Source organism: Homo sapiens, chromosome 6 (assembly GCF_000001405.40).
Source record: "Homo sapiens chromosome 6, GRCh38.p14 Primary Assembly".
Lineage (NCBI taxonomy): Eukaryota > Metazoa > Chordata > Mammalia > Primates > Hominidae > Homo > Homo sapiens.
Window position 1 is genome coordinate 20396966 of NC_000006.12, and position 14095 is coordinate 20411060.

At 48.0% G+C, this 14095-nt stretch overlaps 2 protein-coding genes across 7 annotated transcripts in view, besides 4 other annotated features; one reads left to right on the forward strand and one right to left on the reverse strand.

Annotated features, from left to right (window-relative positions):
• On the reverse strand, nucleotides 3776–5807 carry LOC124901482 (uncharacterized). The gene is made up of 3 exons (XM_047419652.1): nucleotides 5460–5807; nucleotides 5304–5415; nucleotides 3776–5197 (listed from the first exon to the last, which is right to left on the reverse strand). Exons 1-3 carry the CDS (start codon nucleotides 5805–5807, stop codon nucleotides 4590–4592), a joined length of 1068 nt encoding a protein of 355 aa, XP_047275608.1. The 3' UTR covers nucleotides 3776–4589.
• Nucleotides 4489–4728: a silencer, noted in NCBI's record as "silent region_16978". NCBI's record gives its function as "represses an Ori minimal core promoter by ATAC-STARR-seq in GM12878 lymphoblastoid cells {active_cell/tissue: GM12878}" and the evidence as "EXISTENCE:reporter gene assay evidence [ECO:0000049][PMID:35858748]".
• Nucleotides 4827–5351: an enhancer, noted in NCBI's record as "H3K27ac hESC enhancer chr6:20402023-20402547 (GRCh37/hg19 assembly coordinates)". NCBI's record gives its function as "activates a minimal SCP1, AML or CMV promoter by ChIP-STARR-seq in naive H9 embryonic stem cells {active_cell/tissue: H9 hESC(naive)}" and the evidence as "EXISTENCE:reporter gene assay evidence [ECO:0000049][PMID:30033119]".
• The window catches only part of E2F3 (E2F transcription factor 3), a 91836-nt gene continuing 82654 nt past the window's right edge, over nucleotides 4914–14095 (forward strand). For 4 of the 6 annotated variants that reach the window (NM_001949.5, XM_011514324.4, XM_047418266.1 and 1 more), the window contains exon 1: nucleotides 4914–5660. In NM_001949.5, the coding sequence (NP_001940.1) occupies nucleotides 5268–5660 (393 nt within the window). In that variant the 5' untranslated portion in view covers nucleotides 4914–5267. Of the gene's footprint in view, nucleotides 5661–6648; nucleotides 6868–14095 lie in introns of those variants that run through there. The other 2 variants (XM_005248865.6, NM_001243076.3) reach the window with 1 other exon arrangement.
• Nucleotides 5579–6048: a silencer, noted in NCBI's record as "silent region_16979". NCBI's record gives its function as "represses an Ori minimal core promoter by ATAC-STARR-seq in GM12878 lymphoblastoid cells {active_cell/tissue: GM12878}" and the evidence as "EXISTENCE:reporter gene assay evidence [ECO:0000049][PMID:35858748]".
• Nucleotides 6249–6868: a silencer, noted in NCBI's record as "silent region_16980". NCBI's record gives its function as "represses an Ori minimal core promoter by ATAC-STARR-seq in GM12878 lymphoblastoid cells {active_cell/tissue: GM12878}" and the evidence as "EXISTENCE:reporter gene assay evidence [ECO:0000049][PMID:35858748]".

A 14095-nucleotide genomic window follows, 5' to 3' on the forward strand; every position in this document is an offset into this window, starting at 1 on the left:
CAAATTGTATTTCTAGATGAAAATGAAGACTTTCAGAGAAGATTGTAATGTCAAACTCTATCTATAGATAGTATGTATATACATATATATGTACATGTATATATATAAACATTTGGTGTATGTGTGTGAGTATGAGCGTGTGTATGCAAAGGAATCCAGAGCTCATGTAAACAGGAAGGATAAGGAGCAAGAGGGATATCAGAAACATACATCAAGGCATTTAGGCGTTGGGGGAGGGGGCACGGGTCAGGGGGCAATTCTAGCTGTAGCAACGGGAAGTTATGGAAGTCCAAGGGTATACACATGACTCTGGCTCTTAGTCTCCAGTGCTCAAAGGAATTTTCTGGAAGGGCTTGTGAAAAGCAGATTCTTGGGGCCTGCCTTAAAGGATTCTGATTCATTTGGTTGAAGTAGAGCTCAGGAATCTGCATTTTTATAAGCTCCTTAGGTGAGTCTGTGTCTGCCGGTAAGTCATATGTTGAAAACTCTTCGGTAGGGTCTATAGCTCAGGCTAGCAGTTAGTATCGTTGATGTCCAGCAAGGAATGATACCTTGGCAGGAATAAAAAACAAGATGGGGGCCAGGTGCAGTGTTTCACACCCGTAATCCCAGCACTTTGGGAGGCCGAGGTGGGCAAATGGCTCGAGTCCAGTAGTTCAAGACCAGCCCAGGCAACATGGCAAAACCCCATTTCTACAAAAAATACACACACACAAAAATTAGCCGGCCTTGGTGGTGTGTGCCTGCAGCCCAGCTACTTGGGAGGCTGATGTGGGAGGATCACTCAGCCCAGGAGGTGGAGATTGCAGTGAGCCCTGATCTCATTGCCACTGTACTCCAGCCTTGGCGATAGAGCAAGAACCTGTCTCAAAAAAACCAAGATGAGTAAGAGTTGACAGGTTTGAAGTTTCAGGTAGGCAGGATAACAGGCTGTGTTCGTTTCTTAGGCTGCCATAAAAATTACTACAGACTAGGTGGCTTAAAACAGTAGAAATTTATTCCACTACCGTTCTGGAGGCTGGAAGTCCAAAATCAAGGTGTTGGCAGGGCTCTGCTCCCTCCAGAGGCTCTAGGAGAGATTCTGTTCCTTGCCTCTCCCAGCTTCTGGTGACTGTTGGCATTCCTTGGCTTGTAGCCACTCACTCCAGTCACTGCCTCCAACTTCACATGGCTTTTTCCTCCTCTCTGTGTGTGCCTCCTCTGGGTGTCCCCTCTAAGGATCTTTGTCATTGGATGTAGGGGCCACCCTAGATAATCCAAAATGGTCTTATCCTGAGATCCTTACCTTAGTTACATCTACAAAGACCCTTTCCCCACAAATATCACAATCACAGATTCTAGAGATTAGGATATAGATACATCTTTTGGGGTGCCACCAGTCAGTCAACCACACAGGCCTATTCTGGGAAAACTAGAAGTCTTGGGGCAGTCAGAGCAAGGGAAAGAGGGGTAATTGTTGGCAAAAACATCCGGTTCTACTTCTAGAAAAATTTGTCTTCAAGGGAAGGTGAGGAGGGCTCAGACTGAGGAACCAGCCAGATGCTGGTCACTAATAGATCAGCAGGTTGGAGTGGGATAGACAGTAGAGCTGACTTTATGTTATTATTCTGAGTTTCTGAGTCAGGATTCTATGATTGCAACTAACCAGGACATGGCTGCACTCCTAGTATGGGACAAAGCTAAGCTGCCCTAGCCAGTGGACATCCAGGGGCTCTAGGAAGATTAGACGCTGAGAGTCAGGTTGGACAAAGAGCTGCAAAGCAGGATCACACATGTAAGTAGATTCATAAATAGCTGCCACTTATTGGGCATTTGCTATATGCCTGGCACTTTACATGTATTATTGCCTCTTTCCATCAAAACCTAGCAATATGGGTGTCGAAATATGGGTCTCCATTTGACATATAAGAAAACAGACTTTTTTATTTTTATTTTTTGAGACAGAGTCTTGCTCTGTTGCCCAGGCTGGAGTGCAGTGGCATGATCATGGCTCACTGCAACTCCGCCTCCCAGGTCCAAGTGATTCTCCTGCCTCAGCCTCCCGAGTAGCTGGGATTACAGGTGCATGCCACCACGCCTGACTAATTTTTGTATTTTTAGTAGAGAAGGAGTTTCACTATGTTGGCCAGGTTGGTCTTGAACTCCTGACCTCAGGTGATCCGCCCGCCTTGGCTTCCTAAAGTGCTGGGATTACAAGCGTGAGCCACCATGTCCAGCCTAATATTTGTATTTTCAGTAGAGATGGGGTTACACCATGTTTGCCAGGCTGGTCTCAAACTCCTGGCCTCAGGTGATCTGCCCTCCTTGGCCTCCCAAAGTGCTGGGATTACAGGCGTGAGCCACCACCCCTAGCTATATAGCTAGTAAATGGCAGAGCCAGAATTTAAACCCAGATCACTCTGACTCCAAAGCTCATTCTTTCTGCTAAAACATGCTACCTCTTCCACAAATTAATAGCCTACCTTGGATTTCAGCATCTTATCTTCCACTATCTTCTCTCTTTGAACTCTTCTCTCCACCTACTCATCCTAGAGTTCACTAGACATAAAGTGTCAAAACATCTGTTTCTCTACCAAATACCCTATATTAAAAAAACTTGGGTAAGGTAGAATGATAAATATCTGAAAGCTTTCTAAAGCAGAATTGCAGGTGTGGGTCTAGAGTGTGAACACTTGCTTTCTTGTGGCTGTGTCGTATTTATCTTATTGCAATCACTTGTGGGGAGCTCAAGCCAGGATTCTATGCACAGCCCCAGTCCCAGGCTGGTCTCTAATCATAAGGCGCAGGTCTATAATTACTGTGTATGTTGCACCACTCCTCCCTCACAACCCCCACTACTGCCACCAAATGCAAGCTGCCAGTGATGCTCTGCAGATGGTAATATCCAAGTAGTGACAGTACTAGTTTCTTCCACAGGTATATCCATAGAGGAAAGCAACATTGATGGAACAAGAGCAGGGAAGCTGCTGGTATATTACACTTCTAGCTCATGCCCTTTGAGTACCACTTAATCTGCCCTAAAGATAGTGTCACTTCTGGCCAGGCGCGGTGGCTCATGCCTGTAATCCCAGCACTTTGGGAGGCCAAGGGAGGCGGATCTCCTAGGGTCAGGAGTTCAAGACCAGCCTGGCCAACATGATGAAACCCTGTCTCTACTAAAAATACAAAAATTAGCTGGGCGTGGTGGCACGTACCTGTAGTCCCAGCTACTCAGGAAGCTGAGGCAGAAGAATTGCTTGAACCCAGGAGGCAGAGGTTGCAGTGAGCTGAGATCGTGCCATGGCACTCCAGCCTGGGCAACAACAGCAAGACTCTGTCTCAAAAAATAAAGATAGTGTCACCTCTACCAGTGTCGACAAATGTTTAGGGCTATGGATCCTCAACTAGCCTGAATGCAAGACTAAAATATTCCTGAGCCTGGTGCAAGGTTTAATGGAACTTTTAACTCATCTGTTTCAGAAAAGGTAACAAGGCTAAAATATTAAGGAGTCCTAGCCTGATCTGACACATCTTGTCAGGTGTTTCATAGCACTCTGAGTAAGAGTTTTGGGAAATTAATAATAGTAATAAAAATCTTGTGAAAGGGCTCAAGGTGTTGCAATCCTCATCACCTATGAGCACCAATTCTGCAGCTGTTTTGCACGTAACTATAAATTATGATCTAGTCTCTACATACATAACTTCCCCCACATTCCTGCAGGGGTCTCTTTTCCTGCTCAATCTCAGGAGCAAGCTTTAATTTTAAGACCCATGAATACTTGAACAAATTCAGGAGTCAGTTTGACACATCATTTTATATTTTTCTGATGACAATTTCTAGTTTACTTTTTAAAAAAAGACACTATTTTAAAAATACTTTGGGATAGGTTTGAGTCGTTGTGTTTGCTTCCAGTCAGAGAACTTCCTACAAAACTGAAGATATAAAGTGCTGATGCCTGGGCGTGCCTGCGTTCGTTGGGGGCACGACGTCATCGTGGGAAGCGTGTACTTTTTCGGATTACTGCTTGGCGGATTAGAAACCCGTAGATCAGTTCTAGGTTAGCCCTGATTAACTGCCCTGGGTGTTTCTGGGCCAGAGGGAATGTCTGCTGGATTCAAACCAATATCCGTTGTAAGACAAAAGAGTTAATTTGTACTTTACCCCTATCCAGGCTAATAATGAAGGTACCGGGAATGATCTGGAATGTTAACTGGTGCCCGCAATCGCGTCTGCTGAACCTTCTGCCCCCACGATTCTGTCTGCCCACATGCTTCTGTCTATCAGCCCCGGCCTCGGGATCAGCTCTCGCCGCGTCATTGGTTGGATTTCAGGAAGGGAGAAGCCCACGATTTAAAGGGCTCCTTTTGCACCTGCCAGACATCGTCCGCATGGTCCAACTTGCCTTTGGCACGTATCTGGAAAAATCTCCTGCGCTGTTCGTTTATTGCACTGACTGGTCAAAGGAAAGAGTGTTCCCTTAGTCACCTTGACAATTTCCAAAAGCGAAACTTGGGCTCTAGACTAGATCTACACTGAGTCTGCGGGGCGCGGAGTCCCTGCCCAGGTCAGTAGCGCCGGCCCGGCGGGCGGGCGGGGACAGGGGCGGAGCCTAGGCCAGGCGTGGTCTTCCGTGGGAGAGAAGGAAATTCTTTGCCCCACCCCCTAAAAACTGCTCTTCTGCCAGCCAATCAAGGAGGCCTATGCAAATAGGGTCCCTGTCGCCCCGGTAACCATGATGCACGGCAGCCAATGGAAACCAGCAAGTCGCGGCCCTGCTCCATGATTGGGACTGAAGTAAGGAGGTAGCGGCCCAATGGGCTGTGGGAACGGTCCTCGGCGGGTTGAGGGGCGGGGATATGCAAATATGGTTTGAAAAGCCGGCGGGAAATCCGAGTTTCGCGGGAGGACCTTGGCGCGTAAACCGTATCCCTTCATTCATTGTCAGCAGCAGCTTCCTGGAGCCATTTTTCAGCTGCCGGCCGCAGCACCCGGGCTGCCGCCGCCGCCTCGCAATCCGTTGCATCGGCCGCCCCCGACGCCTCCATCCCCGCTTGGGGCCCGATATCCGTGCGGCCGGGACCCTCCTCTCTCCAGAGCCCCGATTATTTTTGGCCCCCGGGGCCTGTGCGGTGCGGAAAAATAAAAAGAAAAGAGAGAGAGGGGGCTCGGAAGCGCCGGGCGGGGAGGAGAGAAGGAGGAGAGACTTGGAAACTCCGACTGCAAATAATAAAGAAATTGAAAACAATACATTAATATACCATAACACTAAAAAGAGCAGGAGCGAGAGATGAGAAAGGGAATCCAGCCCGCTCTGGAGCAGTACCTGGTGACCGCCGGGGGTGGGGAGGGGGCGGCTGTCGTCGCCGCCGCCGCTGCAGCCTCCATGGACAAAAGGGCACTGCTAGCCAGCCCCGGCTTCGCCGCCGCCGCCGCCGCTGCCGCCGCCCCGGGCGCGTACATCCAGATCCTCACCACGAACACTTCCACCACCTCCTGTTCCTCCTCCCTCCAAAGCGGCGCCGTAGCCGCCGGCCCCCTCCTCCCCAGTGCCCCCGGCGCGGAGCAGACCGCCGGCAGCCTCCTCTACACCACGCCGCACGGACCCTCCAGCAGAGCCGGGCTGCTGCAGCAGCCACCAGCGCTGGGACGCGGCGGCAGCGGCGGCGGCGGCGGCCCTCCGGTAATACCCTCCCTCCCCACCGTCCCCAGCCCCGGCGGGAGGTGGGCTCGCACCGCGCGGGGTCGTGGGCGCGCTGCGGGCCGCTCGGGGAGAGCACTGGGCCGAGCATCGTGGGCCTCGGGGGCTGCCCCTCCAACGAGGGTTCATTGTTAGACCTGAGTGCTCTTCCCGGCGCCAGGAGGGTCGGGGGGCTCGGCCAGGCGCGCGGGGCGGCGGGGATTGCCTTGGCGCGAACCACATCAAACACTCCAAAACTTTTCGCGGCCCCCCCTTCTTTTCCTGCACTTTTCCCTACCCCCACTCTCCCTTCCCCTCCAACTCGAAGCTTCCTCTTTCTCGGGCGTAGGAAGGGGTCACGCCCCGGATGGAGAAGGGGGTGGGGGAGGGAGTAGTGAACTGGGGTGTGGGGGGCTCTGAGGGGTTGAAACCGGGGGACTGTTGGGGTGCTAGCCCCCAGTCGGCCTTGGAGGCTCGTTGGCGGCCGGGGGTCCCTGCGGCGTGCTCGGAGCGCAGGGGATCGGCGGGGCTGCGCTTGACACATTTTAGGATCTGTAACTCCCGGCAACAAAGGGGCTGGGGGAGGTGGAGGGGAGTCGGGCGTGGGGGAGGTGGGGCTGGAAGCCGGGTGCGGACTGGGGCGTGGGCTGTCTGGGGTGAGGGGCTCGCGGGCTGGCGCTCTGGCCTGGGCGCATCCTGGCAGTGGCAGCGGCGGCGCCCGCGTGGCCCAAGCGCCCAGGCCTTCCTCGCCGGGCCCCGGGCCTGCCCTTGACCCGCCTCTCCCCTTGCCCCTTCCTTCCCCGCCCTGTCCCCCTCTCCGCCCCCCGGCGACGGAGGGCGGGGGCAGCTGGGTTCCCGTCCCGCCGCCTGGGTCTGTCCCTCTCTCCGGGACCCGCCGGTGACGTTTCGCACACGTGCGCGCAGGACGCGCCTGTGACTGGGGAGGAGGCGGCGGCGGGAGGGGGCGCTGGAGGGGGAGAGGGGGGCACCCACTTCCTCCTGCTCGCCGGCTCCCTGGCCTGGGACGGTCCCGGCGCCCTCGCACCCGCCCCCGGCACCGCCACCCTCCCTCTCCTCTCCCCACCCCCCCACCGGCGCCCGCCCTCGCCCTGCGCCGCCGGTCTGTTCGGCCCTCCGGGCCCCCTCTCCAGCCGGCCCCCCACCTCCCCCCGGAGCCAGGCTGGTTTCGGAAATGCCCTTACAGCAGCAGGTTAGTGACCGGGACGGCTCGGGGGCCGCCGACGCCGCGGGGGCACCGGATTCTGTTGGGGGCTGAAGCGGTGAGGGTAGGCGGTTGAGCGGGGTTTTGGAGTGGGAACGGGGGGTTGGGTGCTCGAGGGAAATGAGTAAGCAAGAAAAATCTAACTAAGTAAATGCCCCGGCCTCCGGTTCTAGGAACCTCGGGGCGGGAGTGTCTGCCCCAGGGGGTGGGTATGGTGTTTACGTGGATTTTTTTTCTAGGGGGCGGATGGATGGGCGATAGAAAACCGGAGGGGGCTTCTCGCCAATGGCCGAGTTGAGCTCTGTTTTCTGTCTTCCTTCCCTTGTGCTGGAGGGGGAGGGGGGTGGGTCAGAGGGTAGGGTGTCTGTAGGATTCCCAGGCCACCCGCCACCCCCTCCCTTTGTCCCTGTAATTTATAAAGCGCCTTTGAGAGATGATTTAGGTCAGTATGCGGCTTCTCTTTTTGTTGGTACTAGAAAGAAGTGTGGCCCGGAGGTCTCCCCTTTCTCCTTTTCTCTCCTTCATTCCCTTCCTCCATGCCTCCGGGTCTTCACCCTCGTGGTGAGGCTTGGCCTCCACGGGGCTAGAACCGAACCAGACTCAGTTAGATCCATGGTAGCCTGATTATACCAGGCGTGGACCTCACCTTGTCTCAGCTCCAAATGGGTTTAATTTTTGGAGAATCAAGATTTTGCGGGAGTCTTTAAGAAAGTCAGCACATAGGCAGCACTTTGGGAAATGGGATGGGTTTGGGAATAATGAGGCGTTTTTTATTTCTTTCCTGTTCCCAGTTTCTCCCCGGGTTCGGTCTTAACTGCTTTCCAGCCCCAGAGATACTTGCTGGGCATGTGTGATGTAGTCTTAGTCAAAGAAGCTCATCGTTTTTTAGTGACTAGGGTCTGCCAGCAGGGGGGAAACGGAGCACAGTACCTGCTTAGACATAGCAGTATCCGGTGTGCTGGGTTTTCAGTCGCAAGAATATTCCATGCTTTTATTAGCTTCAGATACTCTTACTGACTTGACCTAAGCATGTTTGGACATATTTTAAGCATATTTGACCCCTGCACAGTTCTGTTACTATTTCATAAACCTAACCTTAAACAACCAGCTATTGACATACTTCTTGGATTAGATTCACAGATTTGCAGGGGGTAGTTTTGATAATGGGAAATTATGAGAGCTTCAAGTTGATTTTTAAAAAATTTTAACAGTGTTTGTTGGGCCAGGTCCCTAAGACTATCTTTCAAGCCAGGTTTATTATATCTAGTTCATTGTATTTAAGTATTTAAAGTATACTAAATTACCCTCACCATCTTCCAAGTTATTTCAAAACTTTATTCTCCTTGACATGAAATTATTATTCCAGGAATAATAATATCCTTTTGAGTTTATGTGCACACAAAAGGTTTTTCATTACAGGAATATAAATGTTACTCATATACATATTCAGAAGCATTTTTTATATGATTGCAATGTATGCTGAATCATTGGTTATCTGCATTTTTTTTTTTTTTTTTTTTGAGACGGAGTCTCATTCTGTCGCCCAGGCTGGAGTGCAATGGCACGATCTCGGCTCACTGCAACCTCCGCCTCCCGAGTTCAAGCATTCTCCTGCCTCAGCCTCCTGAGTAGCTGAGATTACAGGCGTGAGCCACCACGCCTGGCCGGTTATCTACACTTTTAAGAGCTATTTCTACTGGCCGGGCGCTGTGGCTCATGCCTGTAATCCCGGTACTTTGGGAAGCCGAGGGGGGCGGATCACGCGGTCAAGAGATCCAGACCATCCTGGCCAACATGGTGAAACCCCGTCTCTACTAAAAATACAAAAATTAGCTGGGTGTGGTGGTGCGCGCCTGTAATCCCAGCTACTCAGGAGGCTGAGGCAGGAAAATCGCTTGACCCTGGGAAGCGGAGGTTGCAGTGAGCTGAGATCCCGCCACTGCACTCTAGCCTGGCGGCAGAGCGAGATTCCGTCTCAAAAAAGGAGCTGTTTCTTCTGGGAGGGTGTAGGAAATTTATCTAGTCAATGCATACAAAGTCTTAAGCACTGAATATAAAGTTTGATTTATTGTTTTTCTTATCGAAATTATATTAGACTTCCATGTAAGTCTTCGAATTTTGAATTTTGTTGATATTCTTTCCCTAAGCAGGAAAGACAGGATGGGGAAAGCTAAGTGATTGGCTGAACAAAGACCACCTAAACACTCTGTGTCCAAGAAGAGGTTGAAAAGTCTTCAGGTGGCCAGAGTTGCAGACCTATCTGGTTCTGATCCCAAGTTCTGTCTCAAGAATATCTAAGGACTTAACCAGAAGCAACTTCTTCACCTTTTTTTCAATGGGGGTAAAAATATGAGTACTACCTTACCAGCTGTAAAGCATCTATTATTTACAAATTGTATGTTCATTGGCAAATAACTTAATCTCTCAACTCAGTTTCTTCCTCTGTAACATAGGGACAAAAACAGTGTCACCTTTAAGGTTCTTTTGAAGAGTTAAATATGATAATGCATGTGAACTATTTAGCACAGTGCCTGGCAAAAAGTAGACACCCAGTACAATTCATATTTATTATACAAATGTTAATTTTTTTCTGACTTAGTGAAATAGTGTAAGGCCAGGTGCACATTGTCCCTTTGTTTACATATATGAAGAGAACTGTTAAAAGTCTTTAAGTGATCTGTAATTAATTATTTATGCCCAATTAATTTGGGCTTTTAAATATATAAAACATGGCCATCCTAGGGGTAAAATAGGGACATTTCAGTAAGACACGCCTATATAGAGATAGTGGTGTTGAACTGCCAAGCATATGCCTTGAATTGTGACAATTCAAGGCCACATCATCCTCACTTTTTTGCCTGAGTTCCACTCCGTCCATGATTCCACAGACCTGCCAACTTTTGGGTGCAGTTTATGCTTAGCGGCTTTTGTTAGACCTGAACTCTCAATCTTCACCATGTCAGAGACATGCATTAGACAAATTCCATCTTAGTTGGTGAACTGTTGGAAATGTAAGAACTCCAGAGAAACCATAGTCAGAAGTGCTACTCAATGGAGCAGACAAGGCTTCATCATTTTCTGCTGCTGCTTCTAAAAAGAAGCTGAAATTATTTTATTCTAGAAAATTTGGGATTTAATAATGTAAGAGACTATGTCCTGTCACAGTCATAGCAACCTACTGATTCTACTTTGGGAAAGAGCCCTCAGTGCTTGAAATTTTCATCTAAGAATGGAGAACCATAGGTGCTATTTCAGCAGGGTCTCTTTTCCTGTACAATTATAAAAAGAAAAGTGCCGGGTTCCTGTGGTTCTATACTCAATAATCTTGCTTCTGCTGAGATATATGGTTGATGCCAAGTTTAAGCTGGGAGACAATTTTTAGTCACTACATACCCCAAAATGGAAGTTTTAATATAATGCAGTGCCCAGACTTGGGCACTACAGGTAGCTCCACTATAATCAGTACCAAGGGCGCCACTCTAATCATCCTCTGAAACAAAGCACCCTTAAATATGGCACTGTGGGCTGAAGAACTCCACCTTGTGAACAGGAAAGGATTTTTTGTTTTTCTATAAATCGCCACCTTGTGTATTACTTGGAAGAATGGATTCTGAGATTAATGTTATACTGTGTAAAGCTAACTTGAAAACAGAAAATAATACTCTAAGCCTAGACGTGCATAAATAACATTACCTGGAGATTGACAGACGGGGTGAAAGCTTTTATTGTGGTTTCTCAGAAATATATAAAGCAGTAGTTTTCCTTTAACTCTTCTGTCTTTAATGCCATCTGCAAAGATATATCATCCATACCTTTAACCTCTTTCCTAGGGATTTGGACCCATTTGGCAAATAGCTTCAAGTACTCATAGTTAATTTTCTGGCTGGTTTTCCTAAGTTAACCTGATTTTACAAATATTCCATTTGTAGGACCAGTTTACATCTACTTTCCCAAGCTAGCCAACTTCAATTCCCTTTTAGTCATCTACTTCCTACTAACAGCTGTAACTAGGATGAGTCAAAATCAATTGCCTATGCTCACCAGATCCCTGATAAATTCCCATGAAGCCACCTGAAAGGTGGTAAAAGCAAGGTAAAACGTGGTGAAAGCAAGGTAAAGAAGGTAGATTTCACAATTTTGTTTTTTAAAAAGGGGAATCTTCCCTGAATTCTTTGAGGTACTAAGTACGTGGTTTAATGCATATTTTCATTCTTGTTAGCAGTTTAAAAATAATGTTTCAGAGACTGTATTCACGATTGCTAAAAAGCATTTTTTCTACTAATCATTGTTCATGGGACTTAACAATGGAAGATAACTGGGAAAGCAGTAAATATAGGAAACCACTAATAGTGTCTCCTTCTTCCTACCCTGACCCTCTCTTTGGCTTCAGAAAGTGACGAGGAAAATGTATCTTTCACAAAGAAAAGTTATACCACAGAAGGTACTAAAAAGCAACAACTGCCTTTGGGGACAGGAAACTTACAGAGTGGGGATTATTATAGAGGGATAACATACCGAGTTTCTATTTCAATAAGAGGGAAATTGGTTTATATTCTGTTCACACTTGTTTCAAACCCTCTCCTCTAAAAGCAATGTGTTTTTGGAATTCAAGGAATGTACGTTCTTTCCCCAACCTTAACTGGGGGTCAGTCTTATGGCCACCATATTTGTCTACAATATAACTTTTAAAAAATATAATTTTTGCCCTCAAATACTCTCCTATCCAATGCAATGTAACTTTGAAGGAGAAGTGATGAAGGCCACTGGTTGCCAGATTGTATCACACAGCCAGATGCACTTTGCTTTGATGAAGAATCTAAGTGATGCAGGCCCCCACTTAGCTTTGTAAACTAAGGCAGGGGTTTATGTCAGCTCGAGGTAGAAAGCAGTGAGAATTGGCAGCTGATGGAATAGAAAGGGGACAAAAAGAATAAAAAATAATTGACTTTAGTCTGCTTTCCATTACCGTAGCCCAACTCTCTGGGGCCATTTGTGTGGTCTAGACAACATTCTTAGAACTTGACAGTCCCTGAGAACGATATTCTAGGTTGGCATGGGCAATAGTTGGCATTTACACTGGTCTTGGAATCATAACATTTGAGAAGTGTAAGGCACAAGAGTCCTCATCTGCCCAATCCCCTTCATGTTGCAGGTGAGGAAATTCAGGCCCAGTGCTGTTAAATTACTTGCCCAAGGTCACAGGTCTTTGCTAGTGGCAAAGCCAAAACCGAAACGGGAGACTCTTGAATTCTTAGAAGCCTCATTCACCAAGAGAAGGTTAACTGTGTCTCATGAACCCTATATGGGAAAATTGGGGTGTGTAGGACACATTTTAGATTTCCTTCAGGAGTGGTTACCTTTTTTAAAAATGCGCACATAAAGAAGTGTCCTTTAAACAGTTGGCTGTGGGGGTAATGACTTATTCCCAAAGATACAAAATAAGCAAGGCTACTTTGGATGTTAAATGAAAGGGAATTATTTAAAAAAGGAAAGAATGACTCTTCAAAACGTGATAGTAATATTTTTAAAGATTTATTTGATATTCGCAAATTTGTCTTCTGTGGTTATATCAATTCTGTTGCTCAAAAAGTGACACATGCTTCATAGAGAATAGAATCTAAAAGGATTTTTGAGACTTTCTTGGGGAGAAGGACACACAGTGCCCCTCTGGTAGTAACGGAGTTTTGTCCTGGGCCACCAACATCCTGAGTGACTGTCATGCTTTCAGAGGTCCCCAGCCCTTGCCCAGTAACATTGAACAAGGTGTTCTTCCTCTGTGGTTAGCTCCAAGATTTCTGGTTTAGCAAAGTGGCTAATCAGTTAACTCTTTAAGAGGAAATTGTCATTCCTTTAGCCAACGCTAATTTCCTTAAAATGCCTTCTTTTCCTTTTTGGAACTGAGAAAGCTTAAAAATAGAATTGCTTCAAGCCCTGAGGCCTGAAAGTGAAACATAATCTAACGTGGCTGTAGTGCACTGACTCGTTAGGGGCAGCGATATATGGCTTATCTGTAATCCACAAACCAGAAAGGTGCCCAGTGTAGATACGGTCTAACAGCCAGTGAGCATTAAGTACCAACTGATGAGAGTAGTAATCAGTGAAGCTGATTTCCTCTGGAAAGTTTTTTGGCGAGTAGAGTTTGTCTTAGAGAGTGGAGGATTTGAATGCCTCTTGACTTTCTGCTGAGGAGAGCTTCTGCCTGCTCTAGTTTTTATGATCCTGAAGGGTGGTAGCTCTGGACTCTGAGAATGATGGGCAGTGAACTCAGGGTCTGTATATTTCGTTCCACTCTGCTCTTCCCCATTTCTGATGCTTTGGGGGCTCCATTTCTGATACATAACCAGAGCAGCATCCCTGAGGCCCACACTATCTCCTGTGTGCCTTTCTGCATCTGGCAGTCCCTTGGAGAGAAGGAGGCTCATGTGTTTATAACCTGCACCCTGTCCTAAAAGGCATAGTGAGGGGCAGCTGAGTATAAGGTCAGGCCACTTAGCCTGGAGCCAGAGTGCCTGTGTTCTTGTTCTGGCTCTGCTCACTAGCCCTGTGACTTTGGGCAAGAAACTTGGCCTCTATGTTTTCATTTCCTCATCTGTAAATTGGGAGGAATGATAGTACCTACCTTATGGGGTTAGGAAGTTGCAATGAGTTCTTATTTGTAAAGTGCTTAGACCAGTGTCTGGCACGTAGGAAGGATTATGTGTTAAGTAGAAACATGGTATAATTGCCCTTCCTTCCACAGGCATCTCATGGGCTGTCCTTTTGTGATCCATTTTCTTGGTTTGTTTTTGTTTTGAGACCAAGTCTTGTTCCGTTGCCCAGGCTGAAATGCAATGGTGCAATCTTGGCTCACCGCAACCTCTGCCTCCTGGGTTCAGCCGATTCTCCTGCCTCAGCCTCCCCCGTAACTGGGATTACAGGTGTGCGCCACCACGCCCAGCTAATTTTATTTGTATTTTTAGTAGGGACGGGGTTTCACCATGTTGGTCAGGCTGGTCTCGAACTCCTGACCTCAGGTGATCTGCCCGCCTCGGCCTCACAACGTGCTGGGATTGTAGGCATGAGCCACTGTTCCTGGCCTGATCTATTTTCTTAACTAGCCCTTAGTGTTCATTTCACCCCATTGCACCTCTCTAAAAATGGTGATGATGGGAAGGAGAAGTAAACCGTGGAATGGCTCTCGCCTAATGCAGTCTTTAGGGTCTAGGGTCTTTGTATT

Bases quoted from the DNA above. Each gene is read 5' to 3' on its own strand.
- LOC124901482 (XM_047419652.1), bottom strand. From the start codon at position 5,807: ATGAACCCTCGTTGGAGGGGCAGCCCCCGAGGCCCACGATGCTCGGCC. The intron at 5,416-5,459 runs GTTCGTGGTGAG...GGGCGGCGGCAG, and splicing joins GAACAGGAGGTGGTGGAAGT to CGGCGGCGGCGGCGGCGAAG. The intron at 5,198-5,303 runs GTACTGCTCCAG...TATTATTTGCAG, and splicing joins CCACCCCCGGCGGTCACCAG to TCGGAGTTTCCAAGTCTCTC.